Source organism: Homo sapiens, chromosome 5 (genome assembly GCF_000001405.40).
Source record: "Homo sapiens chromosome 5, GRCh38.p14 Primary Assembly".
Lineage (NCBI taxonomy): Eukaryota > Metazoa > Chordata > Mammalia > Primates > Hominidae > Homo > Homo sapiens.
In genome coordinates this window covers 176,062,392-176,081,932 of record NC_000005.10, presented here as the reverse complement: position 1 = coordinate 176,081,932, position 19,541 = coordinate 176,062,392, and the positions used below count along the sequence as shown (strand labels likewise).

At 43.0% G+C, this 19,541-nt stretch overlaps 1 pseudogene across 1 annotated transcript in view, besides 2 other annotated features; it reads right to left on the bottom strand.

Annotated features, from left to right (window-relative positions):
• FAM153B (family with sequence similarity 153 member B) overlaps nucleotides 1-18,878 on the bottom strand; it is a 64,088-nt pseudogene extending 45,210 nt beyond the window's left edge. Inside the window, exon 1 of the transcript NR_169299.1 lies at nucleotides 18,169-18,878. The product of NR_169299.1 is annotated as a family with sequence similarity 153 member B (transcript). The remainder of the gene's footprint in view (nucleotides 1-18,168) is intronic.
• Nucleotides 6,381-9,370: a non allelic homologous recombination region, noted in NCBI's record as "PLCR-B recombination region, recombines with the DLCR-2B recombination region". NCBI's record gives the evidence for it as "EXISTENCE:nucleotide sequencing assay evidence [ECO:0000219][PMID:15580547, PMID:15640245]".
• Nucleotides 17,037-17,654: an enhancer, noted in NCBI's record as "OCT4-NANOG hESC enhancer chr5:175491282-175491899 (GRCh37/hg19 assembly coordinates)". NCBI's record gives its function as "activates a minimal SCP1, AML or CMV promoter by ChIP-STARR-seq in naive H9 embryonic stem cells {active_cell/tissue: H9 hESC(naive)}" and the evidence as "EXISTENCE:reporter gene assay evidence [ECO:0000049][PMID:30033119]".
• Nucleotides 18,879-19,541: the final 663 nt, after the last annotated feature.

Sequence of the window (19,541 nt, the reverse complement as noted above, 5' to 3'; positions counted from 1 at the left end):
GAAGGCCATTACATAATGGTAAAGGGATCAATTCAACAAGAACAGCTAACTATCCTAAATATATATGCACCCAATACAGGAGCCCCCAGATTCATAAAGCAAGTCCTTAGAGACCTACAAAGAGACTTAGACTCCCACACAATAATAATGGGAGACTGTAACACCCCACTGTCAACATTAGACAGATCCACGAGACAGAAAGTTAACAAGGATATCCAGGAATTGAACTCAGCTCTGCACCAAGCAGACCTAATAGACATCTACAGAACTCTCCACCCCAAATCAACAGAATATACGTTCTTCTCAGCACCACATCGCACTTATTCCAAAACTGACCACATAGTTGGAAGTAAAGCACTCCTCAGCAAATGTAAAAGAACAGAAGTTATAACAAACTGTCTCTCAGACCACAGTGCAATCAAACTAGAACTCAGGATTAAGAAACTCACTCAAAACCACTCAACTACATGGAAACTGAACAACCTGCTCCTGAATGACTACTGGCTACATAACAAAATGAAGGCAGAAATAAAGATCTTCTTTGAAACCAACGAGAACAAAGACACAACATACCAGAATCTCTGGGACACATTTAAAGCAGTGTGTTAGAGGGAAATTTATAGCACTAAATGCCCACAAGAGAAAGCAGGAAAGATCTAAAATTAACACCCTAACATCACAATTAAAAGAACTACAGAAGCAAGAGGAAACACATTCAAAAGCTAGCAGAAGCAAGAAATAACTAAGATCAGAGCAGAACTGAAGGAAACAGAGACACAAAAAGCCCTTCAAAAAATCAATGAATCCAGGAGCTGGTTTTTTGAAAAGATCAACAAAATTGATAGACTGCTAGCAAGACTAACAAGAAAAGAGAGAAGAATCAAATAGAGGCAATAAAAAATGATAAAGGGGAGATCACCACCGATCCCACAGAAATACAAATGACCGTCAGAGAATACTATAAACACCTCTACACAAATAAACTAGAAAAACTAGAAGAAATGGATAAATTCCTCGACACATACACCTTCCCAAGACTAAACCAGGAGGAAGTTGAATCTCTGAAAAGACCAATAACAGGCTCTGAAATTCAGGCAATAATTAATAGCTTACCAACCAAAAAAAGTCCAGGACCAGATGGATTCACAGCCGAATTCTACCAGAGGTACAAGGAGGAGCTGGTACCATTCCTTCTGAAACTATTCCAATCAATAGAAAAAGAGAGAATCCTCCCTAATTCATTTTCTGAGGCCAGCATCATCCTGATACCAAAGCCTGGCAGAGACACAACAAAAAAGAGAATTTTAGACCGATATCCCTGATGAACATTGATGCAAAAATCCTCAATAAAATACTGGCAAACCGAATCCAGCAGCACATCAAAAAGCTTATCCAACATGATCAAGTGGGCTTCATCCCTGGGATGCAAGACTGGTTCAACATATGCAAATCAATAAATGTAATCCAGCATATAAACAGAACCAAAGACAAAAACCACATGATTATCTCAATAGATGCAGAAAAGGCCTTTGACAAAATTCAACAGCCCTTCATGCTAAAAACTCTCAATAAATTAGTTATTGATGGGACGTATCTCAAAATAATAAGAGCTATGTATGACAAACCCACAGCCAATATCATACTGAATGGGCAAAAACTGGAAGCATTCCCTTTGAAAACTGGCACAAGACAGGGATGCCCTCTCTCACCACTCCTCTTCAACATAGTGTTGGAAGTTCTGGCCAGGGCAATCAGGCAGAAGGAAATAAAGGGTATTCAATTAGGAAAAGAGGAAGTCAAATTGTCCCCGTTTGCAAATGACATGATTGTATATCTAGAAAACCCCATCGTCTCAGCCCAAAACCTCCTTAAGCTGATAAGCAACTTCAGCAAAGTCTCAGGATACGAAATCAATGTACAAAAATCACAAGCATTCTTATACACCAATAACAGACAAACAGAGAGCCAAATCATGAGTGAACTCCCATTCACAATTGCTTCAAAGGGAATAAAATACCTAGGAATCCAACTTCCAAGGGATGTGAAGGGTCTCTTCAAGGAGAACTACAAACCACTGCTCAATGAAATAAAAGAGGATACAAACAAATGGAAGAACATTCCATGCTCATGGGTAGAAAGAATCAATATTGTGAAAATGGCCATACTGCCCAAGGTAATTTATAGATTCAATGCCATCCCCATCAAGCTACCAATGAATTTCTTTACTGAATTGGAAAAAACTACTTTAAAGTTCATATGGAACCAAAAAAGAGCCCGCATTGCCAAGTCAATCCTAAGCCAAAAGAACAAAGCTGGAGGCATCATGCTACCTGACTTCAAACTATACTACAAGGCTACAGTAACCAAAACAGCATGGTACTGGTACCAAAACAGAGATATAGACCAATGGAACAGAACAGAGCCCTCAGAAATAATGCCACATATCTACAACTATCTGATCTTTGACAAACCTGACAAAAACAAGAAATGGGGAAAGGATTCCCTATATAATAAATGGTGCTGGGAAAACTGGCTAGCCACATGTAGAAAGCTGAAACTAGATCCCTTCCTTACACCTTTTACAAAAATTAATTCAAGATGGATTAAAGACTTAAATGTTAGACTTAAACCATAAAAACCCTAGAAGAAAACCTAGGCAATACCATTCAGAACATAGGCATGGGCAAGGACTTCATGTCTAAAACACCAAAAGCAATGACAACGAAAGCCAAAATTAACAAATGGGATCTAATTAAACTAAAGAGCTTCTGCACAGAAAAGAAACTACCATCAGAGTGAACAGGCAACCTACAGAATGGGAGAAAAATTTTTGCAATCTACTCATCTGATAAAGGGCTAATATCCAGAATCTACAAAGAACTCAAACAAATTTACAAGAAAAAAACAACCCCATTAAGAAGTGGGCAAAGGATACAAAGAGACACTTCTCAAAAGAAGACATTTATGCAGCCAACAGACACATGAAAAAATGCTCATCATCACTGGCCATCAGAGAAATGCAAATCAAAACCACAATGACATACCATCTCACACCAGTTAGAATGGTGATCTTTAAAAAGTCAGGAAACGACAGGTGCTGGAGAGGATGTGGAGAAATAGGAACACTTTTACACTGTTGGTGGGACTGTAAACTAGTTCAACCATTGTGGAAGAGAGAGTGGCGATTCCTCAGGGATCTAGAACTAGAAATACCATTTGACCCAGCCATCCCATTACTGAGTATATACCCAGAGGATTATAAGTCATGTTGCTATAAAGACATGCACACGTATGTTTATTGTGGCACTATTCACAATAGCAAAGACTTGGAACCAACCCAAATGTCCAACAATGATAGACTGGATTAAGAAAATGTGGCACATATACACCATGGAATACTATGCAGCCATAAAAAATGATGAGTTCATGTCCTTTGTAGGGACATGGATGAAGCTGGAAACCATCATTCTCAGCAAACTATAGCAAGGACAAAAAACCAAATACCACATGTTCTCACTCATAGGTGGTAATTGAACAATGAGAACACATGCACACAGGAAGGGGAACATCACACACCGGGGCCTGTTGTGGGGTGGGGGGTGGGGGGAGGGATAGCATTAGGAGATATACTTAATGTTAAATGACAAGTTAATGGGTGCAGCACACCAACATGGCACATGTATACATATGTAACAAAACTGCACGTTGTGCACATGTACCCTAAAACTTATAGTATAATAAACAAAAAGTAAAAAATAAAAAAAAAACAAAAAAAACTGCATTAACATAGATGTTGCAATTTTTTTCAGGAATTATCTAATTGAAGGGGTGGTTAACAGAATTTGGGAAGGAACACATATTACCTGTGTAAATGGAGAATTTTAATTGTCAACAACTGAATAGAAAATTGGGCAGGTGTGCACATATATATATACACATATATGAGAGAGAGTGAGAAAACTCAATTAAAAAATACTAGACCACAGATTTATATCTCTTAATGCCAAATTGGGAAATACTTTTTTTTTTTTTTTTTTCTTGAGATGGAGTCTCGCTCTGTCACCCAGGCTGGAGTGCAGCGGCACGATCTCGGCTCACTGCAACCTCTGCCTCCCAGGTTCACGCCATTCTCCTGCCTCAGCCTCCCGAGTAGCTGGGACTACAGGCGCCCGCCACTGTGCCCAGCTAATTTTTTGTATTTTTAGTAGAGACAGGGTTTCACCGTGTTATCCAGGATGGTGTCGATCTCTTGACCAAGTGATCCACCTGCCTCGGCCTCCAAAAGTGTTGGTATTACAGGCGTGAGCCACTGTGCCCAGCCCCTAGAAAAGACATTTTTAAAAACAGAATATGTTAGGAAGAATAAAAAGGAATGAACATAAGGCTTTCCTTCCTGGTGCCACCTAAGTGTTCACAGTAAATGAAAATAAATGAGTCTTTTACACTGGTAGCCAAAGTCCTTTGACAAAGCTTTGTCACGGTGTCAGTGCTGTATGATTGTTCAATTAATAAATCTGGAAAGATGTGCAGAAACTTAACAGTTGTTACTTCCAGAGGCAGAAGCTGGCAGGCTACAGAAGAGGAAAAGACAAGTCCAGATTTTGGTGTGCATTCTTCTGTACCTCGTGAATGTCCTACAAGTGTGTTATTCCTGATGTCTTTACTGTGATTATTTTTAAATAAAAAAAACTAATACCCCCAAATGCTGGTAGAAAACAAACATTTCAATTTGCTAATGCTTCACAGGGACAAGAATTCAGGTAAGACACAGAAAAGATAGCTTATTGCTCCTTGTTGATGTCTGGGGACTGCAGAGAAGTCTTATGGAGCGGGACTGAATCCACAGCAGGAGGTTGGAATCATCTGGATATGCCGTCATGCACAGGTCTGCAGAGGAACTTGGGCTTGGCTGGAGAACTTACACGACTACCACCCACACTTCCACACCCGCTCAGCCCAGCTGCAGCAGCTTGGCCAAGATAATGGGCGCTCCTGCTCAAACGAGATTTCCCAGCTTTTGCGGAGTTCATCACCAGCCTCGCTAGCAGCGAATTCCCACTTCTATGCAAAGGAAACTGCCAACGAGGTTACAATCAATTTTTTTTTTTTCCTAGAGTGAGGCCTGGCCGGAAAAGGGCAGGCCATCCTAGTGGCCTGTGAATGACCTTGTGAGGGTCACCAGGCCCCCTCGGCTGCAGGGCTCCAGAGCCCTCCCCTGGCTGACTACATCATGCACTGGCCCTAGCCTGGGGTGATGAGGCCAAGGCATCACCAGCTTTGACCCTGATGCCTCTGGCCTGGGCAACTGTCCCCTGTGCACTCAGCAATGCACATGCTAATTTAATCCAATCTGTCAGCCCAGGCACCTGGAGCTGAAATGGCCTGCCCACTTTTGCCCCACCCCAGCCCCTTTTCAACATTAACCTTGAGAGTCCGTGGCGCGTTCTTTGTGAGTGGGCCAGCTCCAGGTGCTTCACCCACATCGCGTACTTCATCAAAACCACTGTCAGAGGTAGGGCCTGTTAGGATCACTGTCTCACAGAGGAGGAAACTGAGGCAGAGACCGGGTAGGTACCCCAACTGAGGACACACAGAGAATAAGCTAGGATGGAACCTGCTGGCAGGCCCGGACTCCTCTGCTCAGTGACAGCCACGCAGAGAAGCCGGGGCACCTTAAGCTGCCATCCCTGTGCCACTTACCCACCTGCTTGTGGCCCAGGCCAAAAACATCCCCATAAATAACCATCCGCAGCTGCCCTCAGCCTCCTCTAGAAGGCAGGTGCCCCAGAAGCTTCCTCACAAGCTCTTTGACATTTCAGCGATATGTGGGTGGCTGAGGAGCCCTGAAACCAGGTGAAGGTCTGGGAAGGTGAGACGGGGGATTTAGCTCAGGCAGTGCCCTCTGGCAGGGGCAGGCACTGCAATGGGCACCTACTTGGGAGGAACACCTGACGTGGTTTTCCCGATGCTCGATGCTCGGGGCCTCACACTCATCCTTGCTGGACATAGAGAACTAACTGAGCTTCGAGGGGTCCTTCCCTCAGACCTGCCAGGTCCTGGTGCCACCAAACACTTAAGAATGTGGACGTGACAAAGTTAAAGAGGTGAGTGCCTGTGCACACCAGTGACATGGGACTTACAGCTGGGGACGGGTCAGGGCAGCCCTGGTGGAGCAGCTGCCATATGGGGCACCCCCTGCAGTGTCAGTATCAGATGTGTCTCCACCTTCCCAGGGTAGACTGTGGGGTAAAGCTGGGCTCCTCTGAGACCCACTGCAGCTCTGGGGCAGAAAGGGGTCTGGATATATCGTCATCACAGGCTGAGAGGAGCAATGTGGGTGATGTGGCAGTCAAGGTCCCAGGCGGGGCTGACATGGACTCTGGAGCAGAGTCCAGGGGGAGCTTGGGAAGTGAGCACAAAAAGGCCTGAGGGTCTGTTGGGGTGGAGGGTAAAAAGAAATCTGGAAACCTCTAGAGCAGATTCCAGCCCAGCACAGACTGAAGGTCACACAAGCCCAGGGCACAGCCAGGCAGCCCAGTGCTGGGGCACAAGTCCCCTGCATCTGCACACTGCTATACAACCTCAGAAACCTCAATTAAAACAGACCTCAACTTCAAGAGCAAAAATTTCCATAGCTGCTCTGGGCCCAGTGAGATGGCATGTGAACATGTGGCCTGGGGCCAAGGAGGATAGCTGTGAACACCTGTGCCGGGACCAAGGAGGATGGCTGTGGACACCTGGGCTAGGCCCAAGAGGACAGCTTGGAATAACTGGGATGGGCCCAGAACGTAGGGCTACGAACACCTGGGCTGGCCCCAATGTGGACAGCTAGAAACCGCTGGTATGCGCTCAGGAGTTCTGTTCATTTTGGCTGAGCCAAAGGAAGACACGTGTGAACATCTGCACTGGGCCTAATTAAGACAATGGTGAACAGCTGGGCTGTCCCCATTGAGGATGTCTGTGAAACCCTGGCCTGGGACCATGGAAACTGCTGGAAACAACTGGGAGAAGTCCTGTGACAAAAGCCATGAACACCAGGGCTAGGCTCAATGGGGACAGGTGTGGACACCTGGGCTGGGCTCAGTGTGGATGGCTGTCGGTACCTGGGATGGCCTCTATGAGGGTGGCTGGCTCCAATTAGCACACGTGTAAGCAAACTGGCTGGCCTTGATGAGGACGGCTAGGGACATCTGGGCTGGCTGTCACGTGGATGACAGAGATCTTCTTGGCTGGCTTAGATGAGGACCACTGTGAACACCGGCGCAGGCCTGGATGAAGACAGCTGGGAAGCCCTGGGCTGGAAACAATGAAGACAGCTATGAACAGGTGGCCTGGGGCCAGTGAAAATGGCTCTTAACCCTGGGCTTGATGTTACTGAGGGGTAGCGTGAACTCCTGGGCTTGCCTTGATATTGACAGCCATCAAAAACTGTTGCTATAATAAACTGAGTTCATACAAACAAGGAAGGCTGTGAACCCCTGGGCTGACCTTGATGGGGATGGCTGCAAACACCTGGCCTGGGCCCAGTGAGGACAGCTATGAAGGGCTAGGCAGGGCCCAGCGAGGTCAGCATGGAACTCCTGGGCTGGCCCAATAAGGATGTCTGTGAACACTGGTCTGGCCCACTGAGGACAAGGACTAACACCTGGGCTAGCTACCAATGAGGATAGCTGTGAACGCCTTGGCTGGGCCCTCTAAGGACAGCTTGGAGTGTTTGGACTCGGCCCAGAGTAAACAGCTGTGAAGCCCTGAGCTGGACCCAGTGAGGGTGGCTATGGAAACCTGGGCTGGGCCAGTGAGGACAGCTGTGAACACCTGGCCTGGGTCCAACGAGAACAGCTGAGAACACTTGGGCTAAGCCAATAAGGACAGCTGTGGCACCGGGGACGATTGCCCTGAAGACAGCTGTTAACATCGTGGCTGGTCGCCTTGAGCACAGCTATGAATGTCTAGGCTGGGCCCAATGAAGACAGCCAAAAACACCTGCCCTGGTTTCAGTGAGAGCCACTGTGAGCACTTGGGCCTGTCCCCATGAGGATGCCTATGAACAGCTGGCTGGGCCCAAGATGAATGGCTCTTGACACCTAAACTCAGCCCTAGAAAGATGCTGTGAACAACTGGGCTAATCCCACTGATGATGACTATTAACGCCTGGGCTGGGCCCAAGTGAGGGCGACTTCGGCTGGACCCGGAAAAAATGGCTGTGAACACCTTGGCTTTGCCTGATGAAGATGGCTATGAACCCATGGCCTGGGCCCAATGAGGAAAGCTGTGAACACCTGCGCTAGCCCCAGTGAGGGAAGCTGGGAAAACCTGGGCTGGGCCCAGTAAAAGCAGCAGCGAACAACCAGGCTGGCCTCAGGAGGACAGCTTTGAACACTGAAACTGATCATGATGAGGATGGCTGTGAATACCTGGGCTGGCCCAGATGAGGAGCACCATTAACTCCTGGGCTCGCCCCCAATTAGAACAGCCATGAACACCTGGTCTTGCTCAAGTAATGATTGCAAGGAACAACTAGGCTCAGCCAGTGAGGACAGCTGTGAACCCCTGCACTGAGACAAATGAGGATGGCTGGGAACACCTCAGCTGGCCCCAGTGAGGATGGCTATGGATACCTGAGCTGTGCTCCATGGGGATGGCAATGTACACCAAGGTTCGGCCAAGTGACAGTTCTGAGAAACCTGGCTGACACCAGTGAAGACCGCTGTGAAAGCATGGGCTGCTCCCAGTTAAGACAGCTTTGCATACCCGGTCTGGGCCCAGTCAGATCGAGTGTCAACATCTGGCCTGGGGCCAAGGAGGATAGCTCTGAACACCTGTGCTGGACCAATGAGGATGGCTGTGGACACCTGGGCTGGGCCCAAGGAAACAGCTTGGAATAACGGATTGGCCCAGAATGCATGGCTACCAACACCTGGGCTGACCCCAATGTGGAAAGCTATAAATACGTGATGTGGGCTCAGGAGAACAGCCTTGTTCCTTTTGGCTGAGCCCTGTGAGGCAGCTATGGGCATCTGCACTTGGCCTAATTAAGACAACGGTGAACATCTGGGCCATCCCCATTGAGGACACCTGTCAACACCTGGCCTGGGACCATGTGAATTGCTCAGAACACCTGGATTAAGTCCAGTGAGGAAAACTATGAACACCCGGGCTATGCCCACTGAGGACAGCTGTGGACACATGGGCTGGGCCCAGTGAGGATGCCTGTAAATACCTGAGATGACCTCTATGAAGGTGGCTGGCCCCAATAAGCACGAGTGTGAACAAACTGGCTGGCCTCGATGAGGACGGCTAGGGACATCTGGGCTGGCTATCGTGTGGATGGTAAGAGAACACCTTGGCTGGCTTAGATGAGGACCACTGTGAACACCTTTGCAGGCCTGGATGAAGCCAGCTTTGAAGCCCCGAGCTGGGCACAATGAAGACAGGTATGAACAGGTCATCTGGGGCCAATGAAAATGGCTCTCAAACCCTGGGCTTGATGCCATTAAGGAGAATGGCGAACACCTGGGCTTGCTTTGCTTTTGATTGCTATGAAAAACTTAGCTCATGCAAATGAGGACCCACAGTTGTGAGCCACTGTGCCCCGCCCTACTTTGTATTATTAAAACACATGCCAAACCGGGCGTCGTGGCTCTTGCCTGTGATCTCAGCACTTTGGGTGGTGGAGACGAGTGGATCGAGGTCTGAAGTTCAAGGCCAGCGTGGCCAAGATGCTGAAACCCCACCTCTACTTAAAATACAAATACTACCCGGGTGTAGTGGCAAGTGCATGTAATCCCAGCTACTCAGGAGGCTGAGGCAGGAGAATCGCTTGAACTCGGGCGGCAGAGGTTGCATTGAGCCAAGACTGTGCCACTGCACTCCAGCCTGGGCAGCAGAGAGAGACTGTCTCAAAAAAACAAAATAAAACAAAAAACAAACAGAAAAACATGCCAATAGGATAAAAAAAAAAAAAAAGACAAGTACTGAGCTTTAAAATGAGTTGAAATCTCCTTTCTGCCACTTCCTATATATAAAAAAACTATCCTAATCTCTTTGAGTCTCACGTTCTCTATCTAGAGAAACACTTGACCAGAATGTTTAACACAGGTTAAAGTACTAGAGGTTATTTTAATTTGTCCTATGATTCCTTAAAATTCTGTAATTCTATGTGCTTTTGATTCTGTCTATAAGAAAACTGGGAATACATAGTCAGCAGATTTTGAAAAAATAATATAACGAAAGACCAAGAAAAGCAGAGAAGAAAGTTTTACAACATCAAGACAGGATTATAGAAATGTCATGGAAAAAGGAAAAAGTCTTAAAAAAAGTATTATGGAATTAAGCAGAAGTACTAGCCTAAAGGGAAAACCAAACTGGGAAGTCAAATAATTTCTGAGACTTGTCTAATCTTGCTTTTGTAAAATTATAATCCTATGGCCAAACCTTTACCTTGCCCTAAAGCCTCTGATAGTAAAATAAGATATTGGCTACCACTGAAACTGTCAAATTTATGAGGAGAAACTCTTGGACTAACCACATTTCTAACAATAACCTTAAATGAGAGTTAACATACAACTAGATTTGACTGTCTAAATTAATCTGATTCAGACGTGTACCTTGATCCAAGTGCTGCACAGATTTCTATCAATCTATGCTGAGGAGCAAGATAAGGGATCTGGAAGCCAGACAGGCTGATGGTTTAACTGTGGGTCGGCTACTTTGTTAACTACAGGATCATGAGCCAATTAATCAACCTCTAAACCACAGTCGCCTATGTAATAAACAGTAGGTTATAAGAACACAGATGTTGCGATGGCTTTATGGGATGATAAATGCATAGCACACAATAGGGGTTTAGCCCAGAATACAACACTCAACAGATATGAATCTCTTCCATCTATATTTCCTTAGTTAACATAATTTTTTAAATCTGTAAAATCCTACCTGACTGCATATTCATCAGAACTCCCAGAATCTATTAAAGAAAAAGGTATACTGCATTATAAATCAATAATAATTGTATAGAATATTAAAAGCATAAGAAGGCACAGTGATACATGCCTGTATTCCCAACTACTTGGGAGGCTGAGGCAGGAGGATCACTTGAGGAACCCAGAAGTTTGAGGCCAGCTTGGGAAACAGCAAGACTCTACCTTCACAAAAAAGTTATGCACACTTGTGTGCAGACTTCAGACCATGTTTTTTTCTTTTCTTTTCTTTTCTTTTCTTTTTTTAAAGCATAGGACTGATGCTTTGTTATAAAGCATTCCTTTGGGAGCATAACCGGGACCTTATTAGAATTAATATTAATTATACCTATTAGTAGATAATTAATGCAGTAAGAACTCTTACTTCCCTTACTTTGTATTTATTAAATGCAAAGAAGAATAAATTTATAAAATTTGATATCTACAAGTGAACCGCAGTATACAAGTTATCCTAGCCAAACCCTATGAGATTGACTAAAAATGGTATTGTTAGCAGAACAGGTGTGATGAATGAACAGTGTCAAAGAGCATGATTTCAGGACCAAAACATGACGGGCAGTTCAAACAGAGTATACAGTAGTACCCCTTGTCCACTGTATGTGTGGAAAAGACACATTTGACCTGTTTTTCTCTGCTGTCACGTCACAGCAACAATCATCAACAAAGAAGTCTCCTGTGACAAAACGTGGGGAGGGTTTTTCTCCACCAACAAGTAAGCAATCATTTCTGCAGATGACACAAACTGGGCATCCTCTTAAGTCAATTCTCACACTCTATCTGCAGATAGCATCAGATTGCACAGGTAAAGGGCTCAGTCCCATGAAACTGCCTCCCTACATCAGTCGTAGGTCTGAAACTCCAGAACTTCTGGCCAACTGTCTTCAAATTGGGGTTCCCAGGACTCCCTCTTTGGGTTAAATTGAATTGCTAGAGTGGCTCAAAGTACTCAGGGAAACACATTTACCAGTTTTCTATGAATGACATTACAAAAGATACAGATGAAGAGATGCATAGTGCAAAGTATGGGGGAGGTGGCACAGAGATTCCATGCCCTCCCAGGACACACCACCCTGTAGGAGCCTCCATGCATTCAGCCATCTGGAAGCTCTCCAAGCCCAGTCACTTTGGGTCTTGATGAAAGCTTCATTATATTGGCATCACTGGCCTTTGGTGACTGACAACCTTCAGCTCTTCTCTCCTCTCCAGAGTCTCCTGAATGAGACAGAAGATCTCAACACTCTAATCAATCATGTCTTCAGGATGGTGACCAGTTCCCATCCTGAAGCTACCTAGGGGCTTCCAGCCATCGATCATTAGCATACAAAAAAACATCACTTTGGAAATCCTAAGGATTTTAAGAATTGTACCCAACAAATGAGTTAAGATCCAGAGATTTTACATCTGCAGTTTTGATTTCTGTGGTTACAGTTACTAATAGTCAACTGTATTCCAAAAATATACACGGAAAACTCCAGAAATAAAGAGGTCATAAGTTTTAGTGTGCCATTCCGAGAAGCACAGTGAAACCGTCAGCACCCTCTATCCAGCCCAGGATGTGAATCGTCCTGCAGTGCACCTACACTGCACATGCTGTCCACCCGTTAGTCATCAACACGGTCTCCTCCTGTACCCTGCCGCCAACATCAAGGCCTGACTATCTAGGATCACGTCATTCACCTCAGTTCATCTCATTACACGGGCATTGTATCACTTCATATCATAACAAGAAAAAGGGTGAGAACCAGCCGGGTGCAGTGGCTCACACCTGTAATCCCAGCACTTTGGGAGGCCGAGGCGGGCAGATCACGACGTCAGGAGATCAAGACCATCCTGGCTAACACGGTGAAACCCCATCTCTACTAAAGAAATAAAAAAAAAAAAAATTAGCCAGGCTTTGTGGCGGGTGCCTGTAGTCCCAGCTACTCCAGAGGCTGAGGCAGCAGAATGGTGTGAACCCAGGAGGCAGAGCTTGCAGCGAGCCGAGATCACAGCATTGCACTCCAGCCTGGGCGACAGCGAGACTCCGTCCCCCCCCCCCCAAAAAAAAGGGTGAGAACCGTGCAATATATTTCAAGAGACCACATTCAAGTAACTTTTATTACAGTATAATTTTTTATTTTATTGTTCATTTCTTACTGTGCCTAATTTATACATTAAATATTATCATGGTTATGTATGTGTAGGAAAAACCAGTGGGTGATTCGGTACTATTTGTGGTCTCAGGCATTCACTGGGGGTGTCTTAGAATGTTATCTCCCATAGTTAATGGGGAACTACTGCACTTATTTTGTTGTAACACAACACAGCCTCTCTAGCTCTTCAGTTAAAACTTTTCAGTTTAGAATAAAACACCCTATCACCAGCAGCCAGCAGAACATAGGAATCAGACCAGCAACAGGGATCCTTGCAAAAACTTTCCAGCTGCCAGTGGAGAAGAGCTCAAGAGAGCTCAATGTGTTACTCTGGATACTACTCTTCTGGGGAAGGTGCTGGGTGGTTTCCTTAGTTGTAGCTATATACTCTGCCCCACGTATAACAAGGCCCAAATTCACCTGCCATTTTACCTCCCACAGAAAGAACCACTGGAAAGATCACTCCTTTAAGAGCTTATCCACTCGGAACCACGCCTCACATTCAGAGAGAAGCTTAAGAAACACCGGCGTGGTATGCCAGGCTGCCAGGCAGTACTATATGATATGAAAAATATACAGAAAGAAAACTATCAATGCCCTCTTGCTGCCAGAATGTTCCAATGCTTGCCCCTTTCCCTAGTAGGAGAAAAAAATTCTTTTTCACCTCACACAAAGCAAAACTGCCGTCCCTCATGACACAGAATCTAGTTGCAGGTGAGTCATGTCATCATAACACAGACTGTTTTCAAAGTCATCCCTCAAAGGAAGAGGATCAGTGAGGAACATATGTATTTATCTATAACATTCACTGCCTGGTCTTATTTCCAACCCAAGGTAAGTATGAAAGACTTTGTGATTCCAGTTTTTTAAAGTACAACCTCTTGAGCTTCTCCCCTTCCATTGCTAGGGAGTCTATCTGGACCCACCTCACTGGAGCAAGATGCTCCAGTTTGTGCTGTGTGGTATTGCATGGTGTCATTTTCCTCAACCCTTTCCATTATGTGGCAAAGGCCTATACAAATCATGTTTCCTAAGTATGTAAAGCATATGTCATCAGACCTTACAAAGACAAAGAAGCTAAAGAAAAACAAAAGGACAAAGAACATCTTAAATGACTACATTCAATTACCATGGAACTTTACTTTTTTAACTATTCAAAAAGATATCCATTGTATTATTTCAACTATATGACTCTCCTGAAAAAAGTAAAACTATGAAGACAGATAAAAGATCAGTGGTTTCCAGCAGCTGCTAGGGAGAAAGGGAGAGATGAACAGGCAGAGAATAGAGCATTTTTAGGGCAGTGAAACTGTTCTATCTATAATAAATAGACACATGTCATTATACATTTGTCCAAATTCACAGAATGTACAGTATTAAGAATGGAGCCTGATGTCAACTATGAACTTTGAGTGATTATAATGTGTCAATGTAGGATCATCAGTTGTAACAAATGTACCACTCTGGTGGAAAATACTAATCATGGGGGAGGCCATGCATGTGTGGGAGGCATGGAACATAGGAGAAATCTCTGTACCTTCCTCCGATTTTGCTGTGAACCTAAAACTGCTATAAGAAATAGAGTTACTGATTTAAAAAACATATTCATTGTCTATGCATCCCAGGATTTCCAGAACAAAAATAAAAAATAAAAGATATTCACTGAATCTGTTATTATGATATATTTAAGCAGGACACAGTGGTAACCCTAAAAATTGGAGATCATTAAAGACCAAAGTAACAGCATGTGGGCATGATTTCTCAAATCGCAGTATAGAAAATACATAAAACAAATAGATTCAATTGCAAGCTTAGGCAAGAAAATATTGATAAAATGATTGAATATCTTATTTCATAACTCTAAACAGGGATTTAGCACGACATGAAAACTAGATTCACATAATCAAAATAAAAGACCATTTTTATTCTAATTTTAACTCAGAAATTATTATGCTTATTCAATTTAACACTTTCACTGAAAGGTTAAAGAGATAAGAAGGACAGATTATAATTGCTTAATATTGCTATGGTAACTTCCATTCAAATACCTGTGAGTCACCAGAAGTCAAAAAGGTAGCCAGCATTGCAACACAGGATGGATCATGCAACAGAAACTAGCACCAGGTTACCTTATCTTATAATATTATTTGCTGTTAAAATGAAATTTTAAAACAGCACCAAAAGTTAAGTTGGGGCTAAAACTGTTGTGCAGGAAAGATTTCATATAGCAGGAGAGAGACTGCCGTCCTCAGAAAGACCCGCATGCAAGCCTGGCCCTTGGCTGTTGTTTAGGAAATTGGAATTGGGAGGGTTCCCACCATGCCCTAAGACTGGTCACTGTGTCTAAAGTGTTTATAGAAACAATGCGGTTACTTCTGAGCAGCTGCTTTCCTTCTGAAGGTCGGAATGTGGGTACATGTGAGGGAGAGTAACCTCCATAAAAAACACTTGGGTACTGAGTCTCTAATGAGATTCTGGTACTGGTAGACATCACTGCACATGGGTTGTCAAAATGTGAGGCTGGGGGAATTAAGCAGATCCTGGGAACTCCACAGGAGAGAACTTCTGGAAGCTTGTGCCTGGTTTCCTCCAGACTTGACCACCACATGCACCTTTTCCCTCTCATTTTGCTTGTACCCTTTCATTGTAATCAATTAAAGATCTGAATATGATTATTTGCTGAATCCTGTGAGTCCTTCTAGTGAATCACCAAACCTGGGGGTGGTCTTGGGAACCCTTGTCACAAATGCATTATATAAGGTTTTTATTAAGTTGACATGACCTATAATCAGATGGTTATTTCACAGAATAACTTTCCCTAATCTGTTTTTCTTTTCTTTCCTTGATATTTGACTTGGAGGTTCTTGTATTTCTATACTCAACTGATTAAAGCCATAAAAGAAATAAGTGAAGCAATTGTTAGAAAATAATGGGAAATAAGCAGCAATCCTAGTTTTACCAGAATAAAAAATAGGGAATCTTGATGATTGACAATATGTTCTACAATATGAATGTTTCTAGAAACAAAAAATGAAAAGGTGGTCAATTTTCTGCAACTCAACTGGGCTTAATTCCTTTTTATAATAATTGTGCAGGCCAGGTGTGGTGGCTCACATCCGTAAAATCCTAGCATTTTGGGAGGCCGAAGCAGGAGGATCACTTGAGCCCAGAAGTTCCAGACTTCCAGACCAGCCTGGGCAATATAGTGAGGAAAAAAAAACCTTAAAAGGAAAATTAGCCAAGCGTGGTGGGGCATGCCTGTAGTCCCAGCTACTCGGGAGGCTGAGGTGAAAGAATCATTTAAGGCCAGAAAGCAGAAGTTGCAGGGAGCCAAGATAGATCCCACCACTGCACTCCAGTACTGGCAACAGAGGGGGACCTGTCTCAAAAAATAATAATAATAAAAATGAATAAATAAATAAACAAATGATTGTGTATCCAGCTAGATGTAACTACACATAGCTACAATCCCAGCTACTCAGGAGGATGAGGTGGGACGACTGCTTGAGCCCAGAAGTTCCAGGCTACAGTGAGCTATGACTGTACCACTGAATAGACACAATATTCTAGCCTGGGCAACATAGAGAGAGCCCATCTCTTATAATAATGATAATAAATTAATTGTGCATCATTCAAGTAACTTGTATAACTGGAAAAAAACATAACCATTGAATATAGTATAATAGTATAACTACTGATCATAGAGTTCCTTTTACTTGCCCCTAATCTTTTCATTTCTCATAAGACTAAAACATGGTTGACCCATTCAAGGCAGTTCATCACAGAACAAGTCAAAAAGCCAAAAGAATTGCATCCAAGCTGTAGGCTGTGTTATCCACTACTCCCTGCAAGCAGTGGATTTGGTCATTAACAATCAGCAGGACTTTTAACTTTGTGTGCATGTGTGTGTGTGCGCACCCGAACGCACATGTGTGTATGTGCACGTGTGTGTGTAAACTATGACAGATAAAACCATTTTGCTTATGTAAGAATATGTAACATAACTTGTGCTTCTCACAAAGGAATTGCTTTTCTGTTTTCTGCACTCAGTAGGTATCTTCAAACAATAATCTCCTATTCGTATGGGTGCACACTGGTTCACTTTTACAGTTCTTACTGCCATTTATTTATTCTACGAGAAAGGGATTGTTGAGTTCCCGGTTCTAAAGATACTTCCTTAGTGACACAAATTAACAGGTAATACAGTTCACCCTTGAACAGCAAGGGTTTGAACTGCAGGAGTTCATTTATATGCAGATTTTCTTCTGCCTCTGCAACCCAGAGACAGCAAGACCAACCTCTCTTCCTTCTCAGCCTGAACAACCTGAAGATGATAAAGATGAAGACCTTTGTGAGGATCCATTTACGCTTTATGAAAAGTCAATATATTTTTCCTGCAGATTTTCTTTCTAACAGCTTCACTTGTCTAGCTTACTTTATTGTAAGAACACAGTATATAATAATGCAGCACAAATAAAATAGGTATTAATCGACCGTTTATGTTATCAGGAAGGCTTCCAGTCAATAGTGGGCTATTAGTAGCTAAATTGGGAAAATCAAAAGTTATACTTAGATTTTCAGCTGCACTGGAATCAGAGCCCCTAACCCCCACATTATTCATGGGTCAAGTGTAATTATGTATTTACTAAATATAAACAATTTATTATAAAAATAAACAACTTATTACAAAAATGAACTAGAAGATCCATATGTATAACAAGTCCAATTTGTTACAATGTGACTATAGAGAAAACATAAATATTATATAGGATTTTCAGGATCATAATTAAGTAAATGATTTTTTTTTTCAGATAATACTGTTTGAGATTATAAATCAGCTACAACTACCTTCTTAAATAACTCTTAATTCCAAACTAAAGAAGTTAAATATAAGAAACTAATTTACATGTATGTATATATGTATATATACATGCAATTTACACATCTTTTTAAACTTTTCTTTTCCTTCAAAACTACCTTAATCTTACATCTTAATTTTTTTAAACCAAGAGTAGGACCACCATGAGAAATGAGAAATTCACTATCAGAAGTCTTACCTGGATTGTAAGTTTTAAGAATCTTCTTTTTAAGTTCCAAAATTTGGTGTCGAATTCTGTATATAAAAAAGTAATAAATAAAATTGCTATTTTAATACTGAAATAAAAGTTACCATATTAAATTCTTAATGTTTGGTAAATGTATAATCAAACTGATTCTTTTTTCCTCGCTGGCTAAAACAAAATACATCTTCGCACATCAACGTACTTCTATATCTATTGTCACCTTTGATGGTCACATATTATTGCATCCTATGGATGCAACTGAAATTTACTTATAAGATCCATTCTATGGGTTCTTTTTAAAATAAGTGCTGTGAAAAACAAAGTGCATGTATCTCTATTTCCCAAGGGTATTTTAGTATAATGGAATTGAAGGGTAACGGGCATACGCATTTTTAAAATATAGTACTTACCACCAAATTATCTATTTAAAAAGTAATCAGCAACTTAAACTTCAGGCAGCAGTATAAAAAACATCCTCACACATTGTGGATAGAAAACAGTTTCATTCCTCTTTTAATTTAAATTCTTATACCAGAAAAGCAAAGGCTTTTTTTCCTATTTACATAAGAAACTTGTAGATCTGCAAAAAAGTACTTTGCCCCCTTTTACAGTTTTTGATTATTTGATTTGAAAGAATTCCCTGTAAAATGAAGATGCACTTTTCAGGCCGGGCGCGGTGGCTCACACCTGTAATCCCAGCACTTCTGGATGGCGGCTCACTGCAAGCTCCCCCTCCCGGGTTCACAGCATTCTCCTGCCTCAGCCTCCGGAGTAGCTGGGACTATGGGCGCCCACCACCACGCCCGGCTATTTTTTTTTTTTTTTTTTGTATTTTTAGTACAGACAGGGTTTCACCGTGTTTGCCAGGATGGTCTCAATCTCAATCTCCTGACCTCGTGATCCGCCCACCTCGGCCTCCCAAAGTGCGGGGATTACAGGCGTGAGCCACCGCGCCCAGCCCTAAAATTTTTACAAATGTCATTACAATAGTAAAAGACAGTAGGTGTCATGCAAAAATGTTAAAACCTTGATTTTTTCATTCGGCTTATGTAAAATTGATAATCACAGAAAGAGCTCACATTTTGAGAAAAATGTGTCTTCCCATTCAGGAACACAGAACCCACCTCCCACTTCCAAGTTTCCTTCTAAGAACCTTCAGTAAAGAACCGATCTACACAGGTGGATACGGATGTAAAACGGACAGTTTTAGGTGAGAGCTTTTCGCTACTGAAAATGACTCACGGTTTTTTGTTTGTTTGTTTGTTTTTCTTTTTGGAGATGGAGTCTCACTCTGTTGCCAAGGCTGGAGTGCAGTGGCACCATCTCGGCTCACTGCAAGCTGCGCCTCCCGGGTTCACGCCATTCTC